Raw genomic sequence first — 25299 nt, forward strand, 5'->3', positions numbered from 1 at the left:
TAGTATCTCCAACCCCCCTGGACCGCTCTGCCACGTACAATCTTCTATCTTTCAGTCCGGAACTCAGTAACACCCACTCCAGGGCTGATGGGGGCGCTGGATGTATAGTGGCGAGTGTTTATCTGCCTAGGATAGCGATGGCTAGGCAGGGGACATAAAACAGAAGAGGCAGTGACCTTCTCCGGGTGGGGTCTATGGCCCTTTACTGGGTACATTCTGTACACACAGGCCCCTCCTTTGCCTGAAGTCATTGATGAAGACTTCATTACGGAGGGTTTGGGGAAAGGTGGGGGTCTGGCTGGGTAAGCCGGCGTCCCAGCCCCGCTACAGCCCCGCCCAGATCTGGCAGAGCCGTGGGCGAACCCAGGCGGGCAGAAAGGCGGGGCGGGCGGCTGCCAAGCCGGCCAATAGGCGGCTCTCCGGCTGCTAAGCCGAGAGGGCAGGGGCGCCGTCAGTAGCACCACCGCCTTCCAAGTTTCCCCTTGTGGATGCGCGGCCCCGCGGCTCTGCTCCTCCCGGCGCAGAGGGGCCGGGAGAGGCCACAGGAGCGGACCTGGCACGGGATTTCTGAGGAACGGGAGAAGACTGGCGCCCGACCCGCTCTGGAGGGTCGGTGAACGATGAAGGGCCGGCGGCGGCGACGCCGAGAGTACTGCAAGTTCGCGCTGCTGTTGGTGCTGTACACGCTGGTGCTGTTGCTCGTCCCCTCCGTATTGGACGGCGGCCGCGACGGGGACAAGGGCGCCGAGCACTGCCCCGGCCTGCAGCGCAGCCTGGGAGTGTGGAGCCTGGAGGCGGCGGCGGCCGGCGAACGCGAGCAGGGAGCGGAGGCGCGGGCCGCCGAGGAAGGGGGCGCGAACCAGTCTCCTCGGTTCCCAAGCAACCTCAGCGGCGCTGTCGGGGAGGCAGTGTCTCGCGAGAAGCAGCACATCTACGTGCATGCCACCTGGCGCACCGGCTCGTCCTTCCTGGGCGAACTCTTTAACCAGCACCCGGACGTTTTCTACTTGTATGAGCCCATGTGGCATCTATGGCAGGCGCTGTATCCGGGCGACGCCGAGAGCTTGCAGGGCGCGCTGCGCGACATGCTGCGTTCGCTCTTCCGCTGCGACTTCTCCGTGCTGCGGCTGTACGCGCCGCCGGGGGACCCCGCTGCGCGCGCCCCGGACACGGCCAATCTTACCACGGCCGCCCTCTTCCGCTGGCGGACTAACAAGGTCATCTGCTCGCCGCCACTGTGTCCTGGCGCACCCCGTGCCCGGGCCGAGGTGGGCCTCGTCGAGGACACCGCCTGCGAGCGCAGCTGCCCACCCGTGGCGATACGCGCCCTGGAGGCCGAGTGCCGAAAGTACCCGGTGGTGGTCATCAAGGACGTGCGCCTGCTCGATCTGGGCGTGCTGGTGCCCCTGTTGCGTGATCCAGGCCTCAACCTGAAGGTGGTGCAGCTTTTCCGCGACCCGAGGGCGGTGCACAACTCGCGCCTCAAGTCTAGGCAGGGACTGCTGCGCGAGAGCATCCAGGTGCTGCGCACCCGCCAGAGGGGCGACCGCTTCCACCGTGTGCTGCTGGCGCACGGCGTGGGTGCTCGCCCCGGGGGCCAGTCTCGCGCGCTGCCCGCCGCGCCGCGCGCCGATTTCTTCCTGACCGGTGCGCTCGAGGTGATCTGCGAAGCCTGGCTGCGCGATCTGCTTTTCGCGCGCGGCGCGCCCGCCTGGCTGCGGCGCCGCTACCTGAGGCTGCGCTATGAGGACCTGGTGCGGCAGCCACGCGCCCAGCTGCGCCGCCTGCTGCGCTTCTCCGGGCTACGCGCGCTCGCAGCGCTCGATGCCTTCGCGCTCAACATGACTCGCGGCGCGGCCTACGGCGCCGACCGGCCCTTCCACCTGTCAGCGCGCGACGCCCGGGAGGCGGTGCACGCCTGGCGCGAGCGCCTGAGCCGAGAGCAGGTGCGCCAGGTGGAGGCCGCCTGCGCTCCAGCCATGCGTCTGCTCGCCTACCCTCGCAGCGGAGAGGAGGGCGACGCGGAGCAGCCCAGGGAAGGGGAGACGCCGCTGGAGATGGATGCCGACGGCGCCACGTAGCCTCCCATCCCTGTCCCCGGCACGGATCCGGGTAAGGTGGCCCGGGGCAAGGCAGGGACCGGGACTGGTCTTCCGGGAGCCTGGAATGGCCTGGGGAGGGGGAAGTGTAGGGGGGAGGGTACCATGCTGGATCCCATTCTATCAGATCAGGTCCAAGAGGATGGGAAAGTCCTGCTCGTAGAATTTGGTAGATTCATCGGAATCTCCAGCTTAGCCTCGCGCCTCCTTAGAGGGAGATCCTGAGATGAGAGAGGATATTTAGGCGTGACTGAGGTGGAAGCCAGGTCTCTGCATTCCCATTCCCCTGTATGAAGTAGGAGGTTTCAGAGGGCTGAGGAGAGTAGAGAAGGTTTGAAACAGTCATAATGAGCCGTGAGACTGGGAATTGACATGTGGAGTATAGGATTTCGGAAACCATTTGAGGTTGATGATTATGGAGTTATCTTGATGCCAGTTTGTCCTGTGAGGAGACTTTGCAATGGTGTTTACAGGCACAGAGAAAGCCAAAAGCAGAGAGTTTGGTGGAAAGGCATTGATTCTAACCCTACCTATCCCTAATCTTTCTGTTTCATGTTTCTTCTCTGTCTGTTTTATGCGCAGGCTCCAGGGCTTTTCTCCTGAATTTCCAAACATGCAGGCACAGTCCAGCGGCTCTTGCAACACTTCTTGCACATTGTGTGTCTCAGGCGCTTGTGTAGTGAATAGACTTGCTTTCCCCTGGCTCATGTGCGCCTCTCTGTCTCCCCTCCCCCTCCTTCCCTCTCTCATTTCCCCTCTCCCTCTCTTCCTCTTCCTCCCCCTTCCCCTCCTCCTCTCCCTTCCCCCTTCTCCCTGTAGCTGGCGTTTGCAGGATATTTGACCATATCCCATTCACATCAGGTCACAAAAGCTGCCTGGTCAGCTTCCTCTAGTGTCGACAAGACCTCAGGGTTGGGTGTCCCCCACTCCACCCCATCCGTTTGACAGATGGAGCCTTCAATTGGCAGTAGCAGTTTGTGACTGCAGGAGGAGCTTTGTGAAAAGACACTGCCCCCTCTTTTTTGTTTTTCCATTTTTGTTTTTTGTTTTTTTCTGTATATCTGAAGATGCTAAAGTGGGGCTTAAACAGTCTCAAAATGTGTTCTGTGTGGGTCAGTGTATGGCCTGAGGGAAGGGTTTGTTCTGCACAGTGCTGACCATAGGAGTCTACTTAGTGACATGGGAGTGTGTTTCCCCAAACTTTATGTGAGTTGGAAGGGTGCCGCCTTCTGCACTGTGCAGTCAGTCCAGAGGAGGAGGAAAAGTAGTGCTGGGTGGGCGGAAGTGAGTTAAGTTTCCATTCATTATTTTATAGTGTAATTCAGCATTCCCCTGAGATGAAGCTCTGAGGACAAACGTTGAAGATATTAATGAAGAGGGATTTTGTTGTTGTTACAGAACCAGGGTTTCAGAGTGATTTCAGAAGCTGGCTAACTAATTTTTCTCCCAGTAATCAAATGGTTTTCTTAGTCAGTTTCTGAAATTGCTAGGAAGTCTGTGTTCTTTCCTGATTTCCAGAGTGATGGAAGGTAAGGCACAGGGTGACTTGTCACATCTTAACAAAAACATCCTTTCATCTGCTGATCCTGTATTTACAGATATAACAGTAATTGTCCCTAACCCTTCTTCACAGGCCTGAGGGAACTCCTCCCCTGGGCGGAATGCTGTGCATTTTATGGCTTTAAGACATGACAATCTCCCAGAAACTTTTGCTTTTTTTTTTTTTTTTTTTTCATTTTTACTAACATCTATTTGAGTACTGGCTGGGGTGAAGCATTAAAGAGAATAGAGAGGAGGGTAGAGGACAGTCTTTGCCCTCTAGGAGGTTAGAGTCTGTGTGGGTGACAGTGACTGTGAGGGAAGACACTGGTGTTGCTGTTTGGAAGGCCGATGGGGCTTCCTTTGCAGGGCTGCAGGGACATCTGGGAGCAAGCTTTAGGCTCTTCCAGACTTTAGTGACTGAGTCCTTCCTCCCGCATTGGGCACTTACCACCAATCAGTGGGTTGATTACAGTGCTTGTATTCTTGGTTCCTAGGAAGATAACGTTACTGCCGACTCACTGATGGGTTTTCCAAAAGTTTGTCACACTCTATTCTAGAGAAGGGAGGAGAAGAGAGGGGGAGGGATCCTTACTGAAGGGCTATGTGTCATGCACTGAGTTAGGCATTGTACATATATCATTATTTATACCAGTTTTCCAGATGAGGAATCCGAGACTCAGAGAAGTAATTTGCCCAAAGTCATACCTGGGCTGGTGAGGGTGGAACAGTGTTTGGTGTTAGACTCCAGAGCTCATAATCCTCTCTTTTATACCTCACCTGGCCCCTGCCTTGGCATTCCCTGGCAGCACCCTGATACTCCAGCTAGGCTAGTATGAGGTGGAAAACACACTCAGCTTTATTACTAATATGTCCCAACCACTGAACAAATAAAATATCCCTGAGCTGCCGACAGTGCCTACACAGGAAAGCCGACAACTTTACAGCCATCCTCCCCACAGGGCATCTCAGGGTGCCCTCAGCTCAACTGAGGAGAGAGGCCACATGTGAATTAACCTGAGTAACTTCTGGATGGTCCATACCCAATGGCCAGGATTTGGCAGTGAGGGAGTCAGTGAAGTTTTTTCTGGTCTGGGTAGGGGCCGTAGCACCCTGAACCAAGTCACCAAGGACCTAGGCCCTTTCTATCTTTTACATCTTGGCTTTCATTCACTGGCTTATCTTCCCACTGTAACAAGATGGTAGCCACAGCTCCAAGCAAAACATCTTCACACAACGACACAGGGTTATTAAAATACAGAAAGGAAGGAAGCTATCTAGCCAGTAAGGGGTGGAGGGGTTTTTCCTCCTGCCATGCTCTTTTTTTTTTTTTTTTTTTTTTTTGAGTGGCAGCTCTTACTCTGTCACCCAGGCTGGAGTACAGTGGTGTAATCTTGGCTCACTGCAATTTCCTCCTCCCAGGCTCAAGTGATCCTCCCACCTCAGCCTCCCAAGCATCTGGGCCCACAGGTGCGTACCACCACATCCAATCTTTCACCCAGGCTGGAGTGCAATGTCATGGCTCACTGCAGCCTCAACTTCCCAGGGTTAAGCAATCCTCCCACCTCAGCCTCCCAAGTAGCTGGGACTACAGGTGCACACCACCACTCAATCTCATTAAAAGAAATTTTTTTTTTGCAAAGATTGGGGATGGGCGGGGAGTGGGGGCTCTCACTGTGTTGCCCAGGTTAGTCTCGTACTCCTGAGCTCAAGCTATCTGCCTGCCTCGGCCTCTCAAAGTGCTGGGATTATGGATGTGAATCACTGCACCCAGCCTTAATAAATTATAACACCTTTCCCAGAACCCCCTTTACCAGCCGACGTCCCTTTATGTCTCATTAGCTAAAACTGGGTTATACAGCCTGCCCTAGCCCAATCATTGGTGAAAGGGAATGGGAGCATTGTGATTGGCTTAGACCAGCGGTTCTCAGCCCTGGCTGAACATTACATTTACATGAGGAGCTTTTTTATTTATTTTTTTAATGCCAATGCCTGAGCTCCACCCCCAGAGATTCTGATTTAAGTAGTCTGGAGTGGAGTCCCCAGACTCAGGCACTGGGATGTTTGAAAAGCTCCCCAGATGATCCTACTGTATAGCCAAAGCTGAGAACCTCTGGCTCAGACCAGTCATGGTTCATCCCCTGGGCCAGATGGGACCAGAAGGCTGCCACCGGAACAAGATCAGGATGGGGAATAAAGGGCTGTTGATGAGCACTGAACTGCTTGCCACAGTAATTTATGTGAAAGAACTTGGAGCTATGAAGTGCCAAGCAGATGTAGAGTGTTATTATGGAAAGGGGAAAATGTCCTCAATTATACATGGGTCCATTTATCACCCTCTCACATGCCTTCACATGCTTTGTTGTCTGTAGCTCATTATCTAATTATCTAATAATCCATCATTGTACACTATCCACCACTGTTCTGGACAGACTGATGTGCTATCCTGTCCTTTTCAGCATGTCTCCCTTTAATGTCTGCCCTTGGTAGGTCCCAAAGTTTCATCCCGCTAGGCATTTAAGGCACCTTGATCTTTGCTCTTGACATGACATATGCATCCTTTGAAAGAAATTAGGAAAGAAGGCAAACACCCTGTAATTTGAACCCTAACAATCAGGAAGCTTTCTTTCTAAAGAAATCATGTAAACAGGAAAAGAAATGATCAACCACCACCAAATCATTTTGAAAATCTATTTTAATCAGGAAACTGGGCCACAAACATTTTATATAGGCTTATGTATAAATATCACTGAGGCCGGGTGCAGTAGCTCACACCTATAATCCCAGCACTTTGGGAGGCTGAGGCAGGAAGATCGCTTGAGGTCAGGAGTTCAAGACCAGCTTAGGCAACATAGTGAGACAACCCCCACCATCTTTACAATTTTTTTTTAAACTAGCTGAGGGTAGTGGCGCGCATCTGTAGTCCCAGCTACTTGAGAGGGTGAGGTAGGAGGATCGCTTGAGCCCAAGAAGTCGAGGCTGCAATGAGCTGTGATCACGCCACTGCGCTCTAGTCTGGATGATAGAGAGAGACCCTGTCTCAAAAGATAAATAAATATCACTGAAAAGTGAAGCTGTTGCTTACACACAGACTGCTAAAGAATGGGCATTTTTTTTTTTTTTTTTTGAGATGGAGTCTTGCTCTGTTGCCAAGCTGGAGTGCAGTGGTGCGATCTCGGCTCACTGCAACCTCTGCCTCCCAGGTTCAAGCAATTCTCCTGCCTCAGCCTCCCCAGTAGCTGGGACTACAGGTGTGTGCCACCATGCCCAGCTAATTTTTTTGTATTTTTAGTAAAGACGGGGTTTCACCATGTTGGCCAGGATGGTCTTGATCTCTTGACCTCGTGATCCACCCGCCTCGGCCTCCCAAAGCGCTGGGATTACAGGCGTGAGCTACCGTGCCCAGCCCAGAATGGACATTTTTGAAACATTGCTCCTATATAGAATTTCTCATTCAACAAAATTATCTTCAGACTCCTAATAGCATATCAACCTGGGTGCTAGGTTTGAGCCAGAGAGCTGGAAGTTAGGATGGTGTGTGTGTGCGCATGTGTGTGTGCACATGGATAGGTACCTGAGTAGCAGGGCTGCAATGAGGTGTGAACAATTTTTAAAAATACATCCATGTCCAAATCATTATTGCTCCTTGTGAGGTTAATGCTACCTTTGATCAAGGCACTCGGAGCTCCCATTTGGGCCTGCCTTCCCTGGCAGGACCCCTCAGCTGATGGATACGGTGTTAAGGAAAAGTCAAGACTTGTCAAGTCTGATGAGTGAACAGGGAAGGAGGCTGGTCCTACAAAGCAAGGGGTGGACATAAAGTAGTAACAGTCATTCCTTGCTTTCTATATGAAGTCAGTTTTTGAATTACGGCATGGGAACCCAGGCATCAGGGCCTGCCTCTCCTGGTTACTACTTAATTGACCTTTGGCAAGTCCCTAAACCTTTTCAGCTTTAGTGTTCTTACCAATAAGAAGAGGAAGTCAAATTAAAAGGATTTCTGGGCCAGGCGTAGTGGCCCATGCCTGTAATCTCAGCACTTTGGGAAGCTGAGGCGGGCGGATCACTTGAGGTCAGGAGTTCGAGATCAGCCTGACCAACATAGTGAAACCCCATCTCTACTAAAAATACAAAAATTAGCTGGGCATGGTGGCGGGCACCTGTAGTCCCAGCTACGCGGGAGGCTGAGGCAGAAGAATCACTTGAACCCTGGAGGCAAAGGTTGAAGTGAGCTGAGATTGCACCATTGCACTCCAGCCTGGGTGATAGAGCCAGACTCTGTCTCCAAAAAAAAAAAAAAAATAATAATAATAATAATTAAATAAGGGCCAGGTGCAGTGGCTCATGCCTGTAATCCCAGCACTTTGGTAGGCCGAGGCAGGTGGACCACAAGGTCAGGAGTTCGAGACCAGCCTGACCAACATGGTGAAACCCTGTCTCTACTAAAAATACAAAAATTAGCCGGGCATGGTGGCGCGTGCCTGTAATCTCAGCTACTCAGGAGGCTGAGGCACGAGAATTGCTTGAACCAGGGAGGCAGAGGTTGCAGTGAGCTGAGATCGCGCCACTGCACTCTAGCCTGGGCGACAGAGCGAGACTCTGTCTCAGAAAAAAAAATTGTAGAAATAACATAAGCATGTGGTAAAAATAGAAATTTTTTTTTGAGGCGGAGTTTCGCTCTTGTTGCCCAGGCTGGAGTGCAATGGCACGATCTCGGCTCACCTCAACCTACACCATCTGGGTTCAAGCAATTCTCCTGCCTCAGCCTCCTGAGTAGCTGGGATTACAGGCATGCGCCACCACACCCAGCTAATTTTGTATTTTTAGTAGAGACAGGGTTTCTCCATGTTGGTCAGGCTGGTCTCGAACTCCTGACCTCAGGTGATCTGCCCGCCTCAGCCTCCCAAAGTGCTAGGATTACAGGCGTGAGTCACTGCGCCCGGTCAAAAATAGAATTTAACAGGATAGAAGTTTATAAAATACCTGCCAGTCTCACTTCCTAGAAGCAGCCACAATATTTCTTGTAGTATATGTCTAGAAATGTTTTACGCAAATTCCGGCAGAAAAATATAGCCTTTTTATACACAAATGGGATTGAACTCTATTTATTGTTCTGCACTTTTTTCACTTATTGCTTTGAAAATCTTCCCGTTTCATCTTCTTTTTAATAGCTATATTGTATTTCATGGTAGGAATGTATTATAACATATTTAACTAGCTCCTAGTTCCATACTGTAGGGCATTTAGTTGTTATAGTTTTGTGCTCTATTTCATTGCATTTCTAGTAGGGTCCTTGTATTTGCATACATGTGAGTATGTCTGTCAGAAAAATTCCTATAGCAGAGTGACCTTATATAGCAAAAGGTATATGCTTTGTACATTTTGAGAGGTAATGTTCTTCAAAGTCGTCCAACATTCACTACCACCAGCAATTTCTTGGAACGTCTGTTTCCCAGACTTTCAACAACATAGATTTGATTTCATTTTTTCATCTTGGCCAGTTTGATGAATGGAAAATTCTTGCTGCTGGCATCCTGGCTCTCTCTGACCCTACAGTTCATCTCTGATGATGAATGATGGCCTCATACTTTGGGTTGTAGTCACTGGAATGCCAAAATGAAATCAACTTCTTAGCCCTTCTACAGTCCACATGTATTTAGAGAGTGTTATTTTTGTGATTATTTTGAAGAAATGGATACATTTTGGTATAAAAATTATCCCTTTAGAAAATCACACTTCGACAGGACATCAGGTTTTAGCAAGGTTCTTGTTCAGGCGGCCTTCTTCTGGTACTGTTGCAGGGGATTGTACTTACTGACTCGAGCATAAACAATTTGGGGACCCTATCACTGGGGAAATTAGGCTGATTTTAAATAAGGTTTAACCATTCATACATTTTCTCTATGTTCCTGAGAGCCCTCTTTGTGGTCTCAGCAGGGGAAGGGCAGAAGTGCCCATTTGCAGTTTTTGAGGCAGGATTCAGACGGTTTTCTAAGAGGTTTTTTTTTTTTTTTGTCTTGGCAGAGATTTTCTTCCCATGAATATGAATGTAATATAAATAGTTGGGAGTGAAGCTTTTGAAAAACATTTACAAACAGCTGGTTTAACATTCTTCAGTATGCTTTGTCTCAGCCTGCCCTCAGCATGAGCAGGCCAGAAAAGAATGAAACAAAAAAAACTAAACTGGCCTCACTTTTTTGTGTCTGACGTTCCAGTTGAACAAGGTGACTAATAAATGAACCCCTCTCTTTGTGAGGTCTCCTGGCTCCTCAGCCTCTTGCTTCATAGTGGAAATAAAAGGAACTTGCTCTATTGAAAAGGACATTTCTGCTGAGGTGCAGTATAAAATAAGAATAGTAGGGATTAAGAAACAGCTCTGGCTCAAATTCAAGTCCACAGGCAAGTGGGAACTGTTTGGGAATTGAATAGGAAGCAGTTTTAATTGGAGAAAATAGAAAATTGCGGAGCTCAGTGATGTGTCTATAATTGGAGTCCTTCAGCTTTGCTCCCCGGCCCGCTTGGCACCCTGGCACCAAGCCAGTGGCCAGGTCTGACATTTTCTGCAGCTGACCCTGTTCATAATTAAGACCACCCTGCTGGATGCTGAGAATAAATTAGAGCATCAGCTGATGATGAATATTTTTAAAAATTTGTTATGAATACATATTTGTACATGTTTATGGAGTGCATGTGATTTTTTCGTTACATGCACAGTGTGTAATGATCAAGTCGGTATTGGGGTGCCCATCACCTCGAGTGTTTATAATTTTGATGTGTTGGGAAGATTTCAAGTCCTCTCTCCTGGCTATTTTGAAATACACCATACATTGTTGTTAACTGTAGTCACCGTACTCTGCTATTGAACTTAGAACTTACTTCTTCTATCTAACTGTGTGTTCATACCCATTTAACCAATCTGTCTCCACGACAACCCCCACACCCTTTGCAGCTTCTGGTGACCACCATTCTATTCTCTACCTCCATGGGATCAACTTTTTTAGCTCACATCTGAGTGAGAACATGCAATATTTGTCTTTCTGTGCCTGGCTTATTTCACTTAACGTAATGACTTCCAGTTCTTCTGATGGTGAATATTTTTAAATTCGGAGATTAAGAGGCTGTGAAAGAGGGCCACCACATTTGATTTCAATGATGACTATATTCTGTGCCAGCAGATTCCCCTCCCATGAAATGGATGGGAGCAGGAAGAACTTTGCTGTAGAGTCACATTCTGAAAATAGCCACTGAGGTAGACACGTTTTGCTTACAGAATCGAAGCCCTTTCTAGAATGTTAAAAGGTGCCTTGGCCGGGTGCGGTGGCTCACACCTGTAATCCCAGCACTTTGGGAAGCCAAGGCAGGCAGATCACCCGAGGTTGGGAGTTCAAGACCAGCCTGACCAACATGGAGAAACCCCGCCTCTACTAAAAATATAAAATTAGCCAGGCGTGGTGGCACATGCCTATAATCCCAGCTACTCGGGAGGCTGAGGCAGGAGAATCACTTAAACCCGGGAGGCGGAGATTGTGGTGAGCCGAGATCGCACCATTGCACTCCAGTCTGGGCAACAACAGTGAAACTGTCTCAAAAAAAAAAAAAAAAAAAGGTGCCCTGAAGATAGATGCAGGGTACTCTCTGGGCCAGTAGGCCAGTAAGAAGCCTGAAGTCTGGCCTGAAATCCAAATGCCTAGAGCGAGTGCTTGTTTGATTTTAATATCACTGGTTCATGGTATCCAGCAGGTTGGAAACCAGGAAGCCAACCTAACTGAAGGGCTGAAGTGTGTAATTCTGCCCTGAAATAGAACATCACAGAAAGCTTTGTAAGGCATGGGGAGTGCAGCCGTGATCAAGACTGTGAGTTCTTCAGTAAAGATGATGAAGTGAGGAAAGCTATGAGCAGCTTTAGGAGGGAACTCAGAGGCTAATTGAAGAAGTCATTACATCCAGACAGATAAGGTAGACATTAGGAAAAATTGTACCAGAGCTTTGAGGTCACTTTTCCCATGATTGAGACCATATTTTCTCAAAAAGGACTCTTTACTGCCTCAGAGAAATTATAGGAACAGTAAGCCAAAAATGCTAAAATCAACATAATATTTTAAAAATAGGACCAACTGGCGACCAGCCAAGAACTGGCATATGTTAAATACACAGATTTTAGAAGTAAGAGAAGTAGATCTGTCTCTTGCTATAATAAAGAATATCACTAACATGGATATAATAAAGGAAAAAAACACATTTTTCAGGGTCTGCACATAACAAAAAAGTTCCTCTTTGTTGTTTTTCTGCACCCTCCCACTTTCTCTTTTTTTTCTTTTCCTTTCTTTCTTTTTTTCTTTTCTTTTCTTTTTTTTTTTTTTGAGACAGTCTTATTCTGTTGCCCAGGCTGGAGTGCAGTGGCATGATCTGGGCTCACTGCAACCTCCGCCTCCCGGGTTTAAGCAATTCTTGTCCCTCAGCCTCCAGAGTAGCTGGGACTACAGGCATGCGCCACCACGCCCGGCTAATATTTATATTTTTAATAGAGATGTGGTTTCACCACATTGGCCAGGCTGGTCTCGAATTACTGACCTCAGGTGATCCACCCACCTTGGCTTCCCAAAGTGCTGGGATTACAGGGGTGACCCACCACACCTGGCCCACCCTCCCATTTTCTAGCTGCTAGGAATTACAGAGGGCAATTTTGCAAAAAGGAGATGATTGGCCAAAAACGTACACATCCCTCGCAAAGAATAACAAAATTCCTAACATTATTGAATGCCTTTTAAAATAATTTTACTTCATATTTATTTATGTATGTATTTATCTATTTTTGAGACGGAGTCTTGCTCTGTTGCCCAGGCTGGAGTGCAGTGACGCGATATCGGCTCAATGCAACCTGTGCCTCCTGAGTTCGAGCGATTCTCGTGCTTCGGCCTCCAGAGTATCTGGGACTACAGGCACCTGCCACCACGCCTGGCTAATTTTTTTGTATTTTCAGTAGAGACAGGGTTTCCCCATGTTGGCCAGGCTGGTCTCAACCTCCTGACAAGTGATCCGCCTGCCTCGGCCTCCCAAAGTGCTGGGATTAGAGGGGTGAGTCACCACACCCAGCCATTTTTATTTTTCAACAGTCAAAGGGGAAGAGAAATCATCTGAGCTCAGGAAAAACCCATGTCTTGATCCTTAGTGCGGCCACCTCCAGCAATCCTGTAGACTGGCCTCCACGATCCAATGTCCTATGCCAACACGAACCTGCTCTAGGCCACGGAGCCACTTTACTCCCACAAGACCATGGACAAGAAAGGCTAGGAAAGGGTGGAACAAACATACTGCCTCACTCTGCAGGGAGAGATACCTGCAGTGATTGGCTAGAGTTTGGCTGGTCCATAGATTCTGTACACTGACTAGCCATTCTAACCTGGGAATCTTAAAGCTGATCAAGGGCAGAGAATGAGACTTCCTGGGCAGTCCCAGTGTGGGGGTAGGGAAACTTCAGTTGCTCATTTGACTGATAACCCCTATGGGGACCAATGGCAGCCTGAATTGCAGATCTAAGCTCCAGGTCACTTCCCAGCTCTGTGCTCTCCCAAATCCCTTCCACTCTCACTTAGTGGATCACAAACATCTGCAGGTGGCTTGTCCAAATATATATTATAAAATACTGAGTCAGTTCCTTTATTGGAGTTGGGAGCAACTTTACTCACAAAAGCAATTAGGTATGCAAACTAAATTTATATCTTGGAGCAGCTCAATGAAAGGAAAAAACAAAAGTCAACTAGGCAAACTCAGCTGTTTCCAAGTTTTTTTTTTTGTTTTTTTTTGAGATGGAGTTTCACTCTTGTTGCCCAGGCTGGAGTGCAATAGCACGATCTCGGTTCACCACAACCTCCGCCTCCCAGGTTCAAGCAATTCTCCTGCCTCAGCCTCCTGAGTAGCTGGGATTATAGGCATGCACCACCACACCCAGCTAATTTTGTGTTTTTAATAGAGATGGGGTTTCTCCATGTTGGTCAGGCTGGTCTCAAACTCCCGACCTCAGCTGATCCACCCGCCTCGGCCTCCCAAAATGCTGGGATTACAGGCGTGAGCCACCACGCCTGGCTCCAGGTTTTATTAATACTGGTTTGGTGTGCATCCATTTGTTCTCAAGTGAGCTCAAAAGTTTGGGAAATTTTTAGCTGGGGTGGGTATCATAAAACTGGAGAGATGTTATTATCTTATTCTATTCTAGAATAAGAGGAAAAATAATGCCCATTTAATTTTTGTACTGGCTGACTCTGGGCTTGAATGACTCACGTGGATTGAGATTTTACATTGAATTCCTCCCACGGTGGGAGGTGACGGCGGGAGTGTGTGTCTCTTTAGCTCTCCACTGGGGCCATCCAAGTCCAGGCAAGTTTCTCCCCTCACTCCCCAGTCCAGAGTTTTGTCTTTTTGTTTTTGTTTTGTTTTGACTCAGCCTCTATTTCTTTTTAAACCTGAGTGGAGAGTTGTTTCAAGTTGAATATGACTGAAACTGTTATTGACTAGTGCAAGTATAAATAACTAGCACCCCGTGCCACTGCCACATAATTTTTCAGATTAAATGTCTGGAAATTATGAATAACATTTAATGCTGTTTAAAGTACGTTTCCAGGCTATCTGGGGGTGCAGTTATATTAGCAAACTAAATGTTTCCTATTACATTTTGCTTTGGAGTCACAATGAGGGAATGTACTTTGAGATTTCTGCTATTTCAAATATTATTTTAACATTATCCCTAAGCAGCTCCCTTAAAAAACAACTTAATGGTGCTATTGTTGTAAACATTGTCACTCATTTCCGTTTTCCTTGGCACTGTAGTTGCTAATTTGAAGTGAAAACAGGAAGGTTAAGAAAGCTTAACCTGGGTTAACAGATAAGCTTAGATATTAACATCATCCACAAAGTGTGGTTTCAGTTTAGGATGCTGGGAGAAGACCCCATAAGGACACAGCCGTTGCAAAGGACGCTCAAGCCCTTCCTCAGCCCATTTGTTCTGGAGGTGGTCCAGGAGGAAGGCTGTTACAATAGGCTGGAAAGTCATCCAGCTGGTGGTAACAGGACTTGCTGAATACTCGGAAATCTCAGCTCTCTCAAGTGCTAAGCGCCAGCACCAACTTTTAGCATCTGTGAAGTAGTTTTGGTGGTCAATCCAGGGTGCCTCACCTGGTGCAAGTGTGTGGGCAGGGACAGGATAACTGAGTCCAGTCACAGGCATGTATGTTTTGGAGGCAAGACCAAGAAAAACTTGAAGAGGAGCAGGCCCAAATTGACAAACATAATTCAAGGAGTAGAAATGAGGTCCCCGTGCAAGTTCCCAGATTCATTTGGGAGGCCCTAGGCTCATTACCTGACTTGAAATGGGGGGCACAGGAAGGCCACTGAGAGAGGCAGAGCCTGTTGCAAGTTCATTGGCTTGAATCTTCTGTTCTCTAACTTTAAAGCCAGCAGGAAGTTGATTCATCCCCCTCCCCCATCCCGGCTTCAAAGATTGAAGAAAGTATGATTAAAATGCTAAAAGCGCGTCTTCCTGAGTTATTCTGCTGTAGCCCCAGGAGCCTCAGCCGAGCCAAGTGCTTGCAATTCAGGCTCCATAGACCCAGAATGAACCCAGAATGAAGTTTCCCTTTGATGGCAATGAGGCTATTAGTAGGTCAACCAGCTGCATTTAGGGCCTGGCTGGTCATTTAAACACTCAAGGGAACTGTAGCAAAGGAGATAAAATTACACCCAGCTCATTGAAATATGACTTTCAATCTTTAAATAAATAACCATGCTTTTTTTTTAAAGTGAAAGCCAATTCTTGAATTATTTGAATATTGAGGAATGACCTCACATTTCAATGTCACTTTTTTTTTTTACAAAAAACCTTTTATGCGTGCTTTTCAAAACAACGGTATATAAAAACCTTTATAATTCTTGAGATTAATTGCATGAAGACAGTTTTTTATTATGAATTTTCTATTATTACAGGATAGGTCTTTAAATAGTTCTGACTTAGGAATAAACAGAAGGGTCTATGATTGTTTCAGGTGAGACAGAGAGTAGCAAACATTTTCATTCTCCCCAGATTCTGGGCAAGTGGAAACAGTTGTAACCAAGAAGTTTAGCAGCTTAAAATTTTAATTTTTCCTTGTCAGACATCTAGCAGCTGAAAAAAAGGACAAAACTAGCTACTTGGTAACTGCAGCTGGCTGGTAAACTGAGGGTTTGAGTTCTAAATATGCACCCAAAGATGAATATTTCATTGCTCCCTATGAACAGGGCCCCATAATATTAAGAAGAGTTGGGATCCGGATTAAGAGTGAATTGAATTCTTAATCCTTGTGCTCACACCTGTAATTCCCAGCACTTTGGGAGGCCAGGGTGGGCAGATCACCTGAGGTCAAGAGTTTGAGACCAGCCTGGCCAACATAGTGAAACCCCGTCTCTGCTAAAAATACAAAAATTAGCCAGGTGTGGTGGCAGGCACCTGTAATCCCAACTACTCGGGAGGCTGAGGCCAGAGAATTGCTTGAACCCAGGAGGTAGAGGCTGCAGTGAGCCAAGATCGCACCCCTGCACTCCAGCCTGGGCGACAGAGAGAGACTCTGTCTCAAAAAAAAAAAAAAGAGTGAATTAAATTCTTAATCCTCTATTTAAGATTCTGGGGACTTAAGAGTTTGAGGAAACATCACAGTAAGAATTCATAGACACATTTATGTTTTAAACACAACCAAAAATATTGAGAAATGGTAGGAAATTAGCTGATAGTTTACTTAGGGTGTACTTGGGAGCTACAGGTCTCATGAAGGTGTAAGTCAGAACCGGAAGATATATAAGCATCCTTGACATAGTTCAGGGACATTCAGGAACTAGAGGCCAACACGGGGGAATAGGAACCCATTGCAGAAAGAAAGGGCCTTGTGAGGTTGCCCTGCCTGAATTAGCGGTACTTCATTTAAGTTCTTCAAATACCCCAGCAGCAGCCAGCAATAGTTCTTTCAGAGCACACATCTCTCCTTCCCTCACCTTGTACTGCCAGCGATTCAATAAAAAATATGAACCTGCATGAAAAGCAGCCTTTTGGGTAGATACAAAGATTTTTTAATAAAAGGATATAAAAGAGTGCTTATGGGTACAGATGTTGGGCTGGTAGTACTCTCCATAAAAGTTTGTTGAGAAATGGGATCTGACCTGGCAACATTTAGCACTTGGTTAGTCATTGACAAAACCATCCTGAGTTAATGCCAAGTTTGTTTCCGGTCTTTAAAGCCACCCAAGTGAAGAGCTCAACATGTTGCACAAAGAAACAATGACAGATTTTTTTTTTTTTTACTTTTTATTTTGAAATAATTATATAGGCCGAGTGTGGTGGCTGATGCCTTTAATCCCAGCACTTAGGGAAGTCAAGGCGGGAGGATTACTTGAGCCCAGGAATTCAAGACCAGCCTAGGCAACATAAGGGCATCCCGTCTCTACAAAAAAATAAAAAATTAGCTGGGTGTGCCTGTAGTCTTAGCTACTCAGGAGGCTGAGGTGGGAGGATTACTTGAGCCCAGGAATTTGAGGTTGCAGTGAGCTATGATCACGCCACTGCAGAAATAATATACTCACAGGAAGTTGCAAAAACAGTACAAGAGGTCCAGTGTACCCTTCAAATAGCTTCCCCCAAAGGAACACCTTATATGTAGATCAATATCAACACCAGGAAATTGACACTGGTGAGATCTAACAACAGACCTTATTCCATTTTCAGCAGTTTTTACGTGTACTCATTTTGTGTGTGTGTATAGATCTGTGTAATTTTATTACATATAGATTTGTGTAAACACCACTACAATCAAGACACAAAGCTAGTCCATCAACACAAAAAAACTCTCTTGTGCTACCCTCATTATCATTACATACCCTACCCTATCCCACCCCTTTCACTGGCAAACACTAATCTGTTCTCCATCTCTATAATTGTGTTATTTCAATAATGTTATATAATGGAATTACATAATATGTAACCTTTTGAGATTGGCATTTTTCACTCAGTTGTAATCCTCTGGAGATTCATCCAGGTTGTCTTGTTTAATAATAGTTTGTTCTTTTTCATTGCTGAGTAATATTTCATGGTATGGTTGTACCAGTTTGTTTAACCATTCACTCACTGAAGGACATTTGGATTGTTTTCAGTTTTTGGCTATTACAAATAAAGCTACTATGAATATTTGTGTATGGGTTTTTGTGTGGACATAAGTTTTCATTTCTTTAGGATGAATGTCCAGAAATGCAATTGCTGGATCGTGTGGAAGTGTCTGTTTAGTTTTATAAGAAACTACCAAACTGTTGCTGAGAGCAGCTGTACCCTTCTACATTCCCACCAACAATGTCTGAAAGATCAAATTTTTCTACATCTTCACAGTATTTGGTATTGTCACTATATTTCATTTTATTTTTATTTTATTTTTTTCAGATGGAGTCTCACTCTGTCGCGCAGGTTGGAGTGCAGTGGTGCGATCTCGGCTCGCTGCAACCGCTGCCTCCTGGGTTCAAGCGATTCTCCTGCCTCAGCCTCCCCAGTAGCTGGGATTACAGGGGTGCGCCATCACACCCAGCTAGTTTTTGTATTTTTAGTAGAAACAGGGTTTCACCATGTTGGCCAGGCTGGTCTGGAACTCCTAACCTCAAGTGATCTGCCCGCCTCAGCCTCCCAAAGTGCTGAGATTACAGGCGTGAGCCACCGCGCCTGGCCGAGATTTCTTTTTTTAAAAAAAATCTCTTTTTTATTTTATTTTACTTTAAGTTCTGGGATATATGTGCTGAACATGCAGGTTTGTTACATAGGTATACATGTGCCATGGTGGTTTGCTGCACCTATCAAGCCATCATCTAGGTTTTAAGCCCCGCGTGCATTAGATATTTGTCCTAATGCTCTCCCTCCCATTGCCCCACACCCCCTGACAGGCCCCAGTATGTGACGTTCCCCTCCCTATGTCCATCTGTTCTCATTGTTCAGCTCCCACTTATGAGTGAGAACATTTGCTGTTTGGTTTTCTGTTCCTGTGTTAGTTTGCTGAGGATGATGGTTTCCAGCTTCATCCATGTCCCAGCAAAGGACGTGAATGAGATTTCTTTTTCAAGAGCCTTTTAACTATTAATTCAATTTTTTAGTAGTTACAGGACTTTTCAAATTATCTATTTCATATTGGGTGAGTTATAGTAGTTTGTGCTTTTTGAGGAATTGGTCCATTTCATCTAAATTGTCAAATTAATGGATGTAGAGTTGTTTTTAGTAATTTTTTTTTCTTTTGCCTTTTAATGTCTGTGGTGTCTGTAATGAAAACCCCTGTTTCATTGCTGATACTGGTAATGTTTGTCTTCTCTTTTTCTGTTGTCAGTCTTGATAGAAGTTTTTTGTTTGTTTTCTGTTTTTGTTTGTTTTTGTTTTTTGTTTTGTTTTGTTTTGAGACAGGGTCTCACTCCCATTGCCCAGGCTGGAGTACAGTGATGCAATCTCAGCTCACCCGCCTTCTGGGTTCGAGCAATTCTCCTGCCTCAGCCTCCTGAGTAGCTGGGACTACAAGTGCTCGTCACCACACCCGGCTAATTTTTGTATTTTTTGTAGAGACAGGGTTTTGCCATGTTGGCCAGGCTGGTCTCGAACTCCTGGCCTCAAGTGATCCACCCGCCTTGGCCTTCCAAAGTGCTGGGATTACAGGCATGAGCCACTGTACCTGGCTGATAGAGGTTTTTTGATCTTTTCAAAGTACCAGCTTTTTGTTTCATTGTATTTTGATTGTTTTTGTTTTCAGTTTTACTGATTTCTCCTTTTATCTTAATTATTTCCTTACTTCTGCTTGTTTTGGGTTTTTTTAATCATCTAGTTTCTTGAGGTAAGTACATAGATTATTGATTTGAGATCTTTTTTTCTCATGTATGTATCTAGTGTTACACATTTTCCTCTTAGCTTCACAAATTTTGATGTTGCATTTTCATTCAATATAGTTTTATTTTCAATGAATTATATTTAAGTATGTTCTTTAATTTTAAAATTTCTGGATAATTTCCTGCTATCTTTCTGTTATTGACTTCTAGTTTGATTACACTATGGTTATTTAATTTATTATTATTATTTCAATTTTTAAACATTTGTTCAGATTTGTTTTGTGGACCAGGATAGGTTCATGTTGTGAATGTTCCATGTATACCTAAAAATAATGTGTATTCTGTTAATAGGTGGAATGTTCTATAAATGTCAGTTCAATTCTGTTGGTTGATGGTACTGTTCAGTCCTTCTGTATCCTTACTGACTCTCTGTCTAGTGAGTCCATCATTTGTTGAAAGAATGGTGTTGAAGTTTTCAACTATAGACTCGTCCATTTCTTCTTTCTGTTCTTTCAGTTTTTGCCTCAGGAAATTTGAAGCTCTGCTATTTGCTCTGTACATATTTAGGATTGCTATAACTTGTTTTTGGATTGACCTTTTAAACCTTATGTAACATTCTTCTTTGTCCCTGGTAATTTTCTTTGCTCTGAAGTCTATTTTATCTAATATTAATATAGCTACTCTTCCTTTCTTTTGATTAATGTTTGTATGGTGTATCCTTTTCAGCCTTTTACTTTCAGCCCATCTCATTATATTAGAAATTAATGGTAATGTTTTTAAATCCATTTTGCCAATCTCTTTTAGTTTATGTATTTAAACCATTTATACTTAATCTAATTATTGATATTTTAGGACTTCAATTTGATTTGTTTGTTCCCTCTGTTTTTATTCCTTTGTTTTCCTTTTCCTGTCTTCCTTTGAGTTACTTCAACATTTTTTAGAATTTCATTTTATCTGTAGTGTTTTTGAGGGTATCTCTTTGTATGTTTATTTTAGTGGTTTCCTTGAATTATACATGTGTAACTTATCACAGCCTACTGGTGTCAACATCTTACTACCTCCAATGAAATGTAGAAAACTAATCTCCATTTAGGTTCCTTTATCCTGCCCCTTAAATAGTCTCTTAAAAATTTTCTCTACATATATTGAGAACCACATCATACAATGTTACTTTGCCTCAACCATCAAAAATAATTTTAAAAACTCAAGAGAATAGTTTATTAAATTTACTCATATTTTACCTTTCCGTTGTTCTTTCTTCATTTGTGATATTTCAAGCCTCCTTTTGTCATTTCCTTTCTCTGGGGAAGAACTTTAGCAGTTCTTTTATAAAAGTTCTGTTGGCAAAAATTATCTTAGTTTTCTTTCATGTGAAAATGTCTTTATTTCACCTTCATTCCTGAAGGATATTATCATGGGATATAGAAATCTGGATCGAGGCTGGGCACTGTGGCTCACTCCTGTGATCCCAGCACTTTGGGAGGCCAAGGCAGGTGGATCACTTGAGGTCAGGAGTTCAAGACCAGCCTGGCCAACGTGGCGAAACCCCATCTCTACTAAAAATACAAAAATTAGCTGGGTGTGGTGACGGGCACCTGTAATCCAGCTACTTGGAAGACCAAGGAATGAGAATCATCTGAACCCAGGAGGCGGAGGTTGCAGTGAGCCAAGATCACGCCACTGCACTCCAGCCTGGGTGACAGTGAGACTCTGTCCAAAAAAAAAAAAAAAGAAAAATCTGGATTGGCAGATATTTTCTTTCAGCACTTGAAAACTGTCGTGTCACCTCCTTCTGACCCCCATGCTTTCAGATACAAAATCCGTTGGCATTCATATTGTTGTTCCCATAATTAATGTGTCATTTCTCTCTAGTTGCCTTCAGGATTTTTTTGTCTTTACTTTGCTGAAGTTTGACTATGCCATGGCTTGGTGTAGATTTCTTTGAGCTTTTCTTCTTTGGGGTTTGCTCAAGTTCTTGAATCTGTAAATTTATGTCTTCTGCCAAATTTGGGAAACTTTCAGCCATATTTCAAGTACTTTTTCAGTCTCTTTTTCTGGAACTTTGATGACATGCATGATAGATCATTTATTATGGTTCCACAGGCCCCTGAGGCTCTGTTTATCTTTTTTTAACTCTATTTTCTGTTGTTCAGATTTGATAATTTCTATTGTTCTATTTTTAGATTCACTAAGTCCTTACTCTATCATCTCTATTCTGCTATTGAGCCCATCCAGTGAGTTTTTCAAATTTTTGTTATTGTATTTTACAGTTCTAAAATTTCTATTTGGTTGCTTTTTAAAAAATTATTCGCTGAGAATTTCAATTTTTTTATTTGCTTCAAGTGTGTTTGTAATGGCTAATTGAGGATGTTTATGATTGCCACTTAAAATCTGTTTCAGATAATTTCAACATCTGTGTCATCTCAGTGTTGGTATGTATCAGTTGTCTTTTCTCATTCAAGCTGAAATTTCCCTGGTTCTTGGTTTGACAAGTGCTCTTTTTATTGTCCTGGACACTGGAAGAATTATCTTATGAATCTCCAAATCTTATTTAAATCTTCTTTTTTAGCAGGCCTCCACTGACACCACACTGGTGGAGAAAGGGGCACATCACCTGGTTACTGCCAGGTCAAGGTGGCAGTCCAGAGATCCTGGCTTCCCACTAGGGCTTTGCTCACAGGAGAGGGGATTTTTTTTTTTAATTGTGGTGCTTGGTTTCTGTCTTTTTTAGAGTGAACCTTTCCTGTCCTTTGGCTAGAGGTAACAGGCTTTTTTCAGGGCTTTTTTGTGTGTGTCTGTCACAGTTGGCATTTCTGGCTTGCTGGCTTCTTTAGCACACAACATTCAGGATATAGAGGCAGCAAAAAGAAAACTCAGGGTCATAGTATTCCTCAGTTGCCAAGGTTCCTAGTCAGTTGGCCTTCTTCTCTCCACCCTTCAGACTCTTATCTTTGTTTTATACATAATATTCGGAGTTTTTAGTTATACTTTGTGGGAGGAATAAGAAGTGCATCTATTCCATCTTGTCAACTAGAAGTCAGCCCATCTGGCTGGGCGCGGTGGCTCACATCTGTAATCCTAGCACTTTGGGAGGCTGAGGCGGGCTGATCACCTGGGGTGAGGAGTTCGATACCAGCCTGGCCAACATGGTGAAACCCTGTCTCTACTAAAAATACACAAATTAGCTGGGCGTGGTGGTGCACGCCTGTAATCCCAGCTACTCGGGAGGCTGAGGCACGAGAATCGCTTGAACCCAGGAGGCAGAGATTGCAGTGAGCCGAGATCATTGCACTGCACTCCAGCCTGGGTGACAGAGCTAGACTCTGTCAAAAAAAAAAAAAAAAGTCGGCCCACCTGGAAATTGGTTTTTATTAAAGACTGAAATTTGACATGGTGGCTCTTTATGTAAGTAACCTGTTGTGGAGGCTAAAGTAACTCCATCTTGGATGCTAATCCACTATGTTGACTTGTGATTAACCCTGGTTCCAGGAATGCCTCTGAGATTTCCAGTTCATCTATTGTTCCTTGTGTTAAGAGCACATCCTTACCATAAATCCTGCCCTTAGATCAAACTCCTACTCATTCCCTCTGAAACACGTGTACCTTTTCCTGTGGTTTATAATCCCTGGGTCTGGGGGTGGGGGGTAATGGTGTGGAGATCTATCTGCCTTGCAGCTGCTCAAGACCATACTTCTGTCCATAAGTTCCCCGATAAAATCACCCTGTGATGACAAGCTGGACTTATCTGCCTCCTTCTTTGGTTTCTCAGCCCCTTCTGCATTTGGGGGTCACTTTGCTTATATAGCCCTTTCATGAAACATGTGTACTAGCAAAATACTAAAGATTTATAGAAAGGGGTTGGGCACAGTGGCTCATGCCAGTAATCCTAGCACTTTGGGAGGCCAAGATGGGTGGATCACTTGAGGTCAGGAGTTCGAGACCAGCCTGGCCAACACGGTGAAACCCCGTCTCTACTAAAAATACAAAAAATTAGCCAGGTGTGGTGCTGCACACCTGTAGTCACAGCTACTCAGGAGGCTGAGGCAGGAGAATTGCTGGAACTCAGGAGGTGGAGGCTGCAGTGAGCTTAGATCATGCCACTGTACTCCAGCCTGGGCAACAGAGTGAGACTCTGTCTCAAAAAAAAAAAAAAAAATTATAGAAAGGCCTCAAAGCATTTCTGAAATTAGCTTTTCCTTAATGCTTAGTGTGAATCTTTATTGCACATTTTAAATCATCTTGAAACTGCCTTTCCCAAACTTTGCATCAGTGGTTCTATTAAGCTGATGGACAGTTTCACTCCATTAGAAAATGTCAAATTTGGTACACATCCAGGATCAGAGGAAGGATCACAGGAGAGCAAGAAACTGGTGACAGGACTAGTTCAGACACACTAGAGTCAGCCCACTTTCCACTGCTCACATAGAGTGACACAAGCAATGTGTTTAAATGAAAGAAGAAAAAAGTTCAGGTGCCACAAAGATAGAAAGCTGGACTCACTGCCTATCTACAGCCTCAGTTTTATAGAATCGTCAGTTGCTGTTGGCGTTTTGCACATATGAACTGGTACATAAGTGAAGAATGGATGGGTACGTGGTTGGTGCCTAAAGGTACGGTTTCAATCCCAGTTCCTCCTACACACTACCCAGAAGGTCCCAGAAAGCCCTGTTCTCCTCAGCAGGCGCTCCACAACAGCAGCTGCAGAAAGCGCAGCCATGCTAACAGAGGCGCCCCCGGAGTTTTCCCATCTTCACCCTCACCCAACACCTCTTGGGTCATTTTCTCCTGGTCTGTCTTCACAAGCCAGAAATGGTTGATACTGATTCGGTATGGGTTTGGAAGATTATAGGTTTCTGATTTAAAAGGCCTTATGTCATCAGGGTCCAACAGACTTTCTTTCTGGGGATTTCTGTGTTCTGAAGTTCAGACGTCCTTTGTTCCTTCCCTTCTAGGTCAGTCACCACGAACAGGGGCACTCGGCATGCTGCCCCAGCACTGGAGAAGCAGCGCTGTGGGGGCAATCTGTCACACTCTCAGAGTCTGGGACTTGACTTGCTACCAACAACTGCTGTGCAATTCTGCTGAGCAGGAATATCATGAGCTGTTCAATAATGACGGACGCATTGGTTGAGATGAAGTTTCCAGTAAGGAAGTGACAGTGCAATGTGGATATTTATGGCTGTAAAATAGGAAGAGCTTTAGTTCCCAGGCTGAACCTGCCACTGCTGGAGCCATTTCAACAAGGCATCCTCACAACAAAGAAGAGATGTGATTTGGTACCATTTCACACCAGCAGGTGTCTGGACGAAAACATCAATGTGAATAAGGGCCAAGTGCAGTCCTGTCTTGATTAAATTACTTAATAATATTATTAAATAATAATAGGTCTGGGCAGTATTGTTTTTAACCTGACTCATCCAGCTGTCCTTCAAATAGCTCCGTCTCCCTCTACCCAGAACTGATTTTTAAAAAGAAGTAATTTTTCTCCCTGGGCTGGGAAAACCCTAATGAACTGAAACACACTTTTACTTTAAAATTTTTCTGTCTGGCGTTTTTGTAATCATACTATTAAATGACTCTGGAGTCATGTTAATGACAGGATTTGTTTTGTTTGGATGCAGTTCAATTGCATGGTTTGGGTAAAAGCTAGCCTACATACAAAGGAATATGAAGACTGTGGAAGAAACTGTATATTGGGTTTAAGAATTTCAGCAATTATCCGGTAAAAGAAGAACTTAAGCATTAAGCTGCAATGTCAAATCCACTTGCTTCAGTCTTACTAGCTGATGTTGCCAACAGTTGG

At 45.0% G+C, this 25299-nt stretch overlaps 1 protein-coding gene across 1 annotated transcript, besides 4 other annotated features; it reads left to right on the forward strand.

Annotated features, from left to right (window-relative positions):
* On the forward strand, positions 454 to 25185 carry CHST7 (carbohydrate sulfotransferase 7). The gene is made up of 2 exons (NM_019886.4): positions 454 to 2112; positions 24449 to 25185. The coding sequence occupies exon 1, from the start codon at positions 621 to 623 to the stop codon at positions 2079 to 2081; it is 1461 nt and encodes a 486-aa protein (NP_063939.2). The 5' UTR covers positions 454 to 620; the 3' UTR covers positions 2082 to 2112; positions 24449 to 25185.
* Positions 1472 to 1521: a silencer, noted in NCBI's record as "silent region_20790". NCBI's record gives its function as "represses an Ori minimal core promoter by ATAC-STARR-seq in GM12878 lymphoblastoid cells {active_cell/tissue: GM12878}" and the evidence as "EXISTENCE:reporter gene assay evidence [ECO:0000049][PMID:35858748]".
* Positions 1642 to 1701: a silencer, noted in NCBI's record as "silent region_20791". NCBI's record gives its function as "represses an Ori minimal core promoter by ATAC-STARR-seq in GM12878 lymphoblastoid cells {active_cell/tissue: GM12878}" and the evidence as "EXISTENCE:reporter gene assay evidence [ECO:0000049][PMID:35858748]".
* Positions 14297 to 14901: an enhancer, noted in NCBI's record as "NANOG-H3K27ac hESC enhancer chrX:46447043-46447647 (GRCh37/hg19 assembly coordinates)". NCBI's record gives its function as "activates a minimal SCP1, AML or CMV promoter by ChIP-STARR-seq in naive and primed H9 embryonic stem cells {active_cell/tissue: H9 hESC(naive and primed)}" and the evidence as "EXISTENCE:reporter gene assay evidence [ECO:0000049][PMID:30033119]".
* Positions 14902 to 15505: an enhancer, noted in NCBI's record as "OCT4-NANOG-H3K27ac hESC enhancer chrX:46447648-46448251 (GRCh37/hg19 assembly coordinates)". NCBI's record gives its function as "activates a minimal SCP1, AML or CMV promoter by ChIP-STARR-seq in naive and primed H9 embryonic stem cells {active_cell/tissue: H9 hESC(naive and primed)}" and the evidence as "EXISTENCE:reporter gene assay evidence [ECO:0000049][PMID:30033119]".

The sequence above is a fragment of the Homo sapiens genome, chromosome X (genome assembly GCF_000001405.40).
Source record: "Homo sapiens chromosome X, GRCh38.p14 Primary Assembly".
NCBI classification, from domain to species: Eukaryota; Metazoa; Chordata; class Mammalia; order Primates; family Hominidae; genus Homo; species Homo sapiens.

Excerpts from the sequence above, each read along its gene's own strand:
- CHST7 (NM_019886.4), top strand. The coding sequence starts at position 621 with ATGAAGGGCCGGCGGCGGCGACGCCGAGAGTACTGCAAGTTCGCGCTG.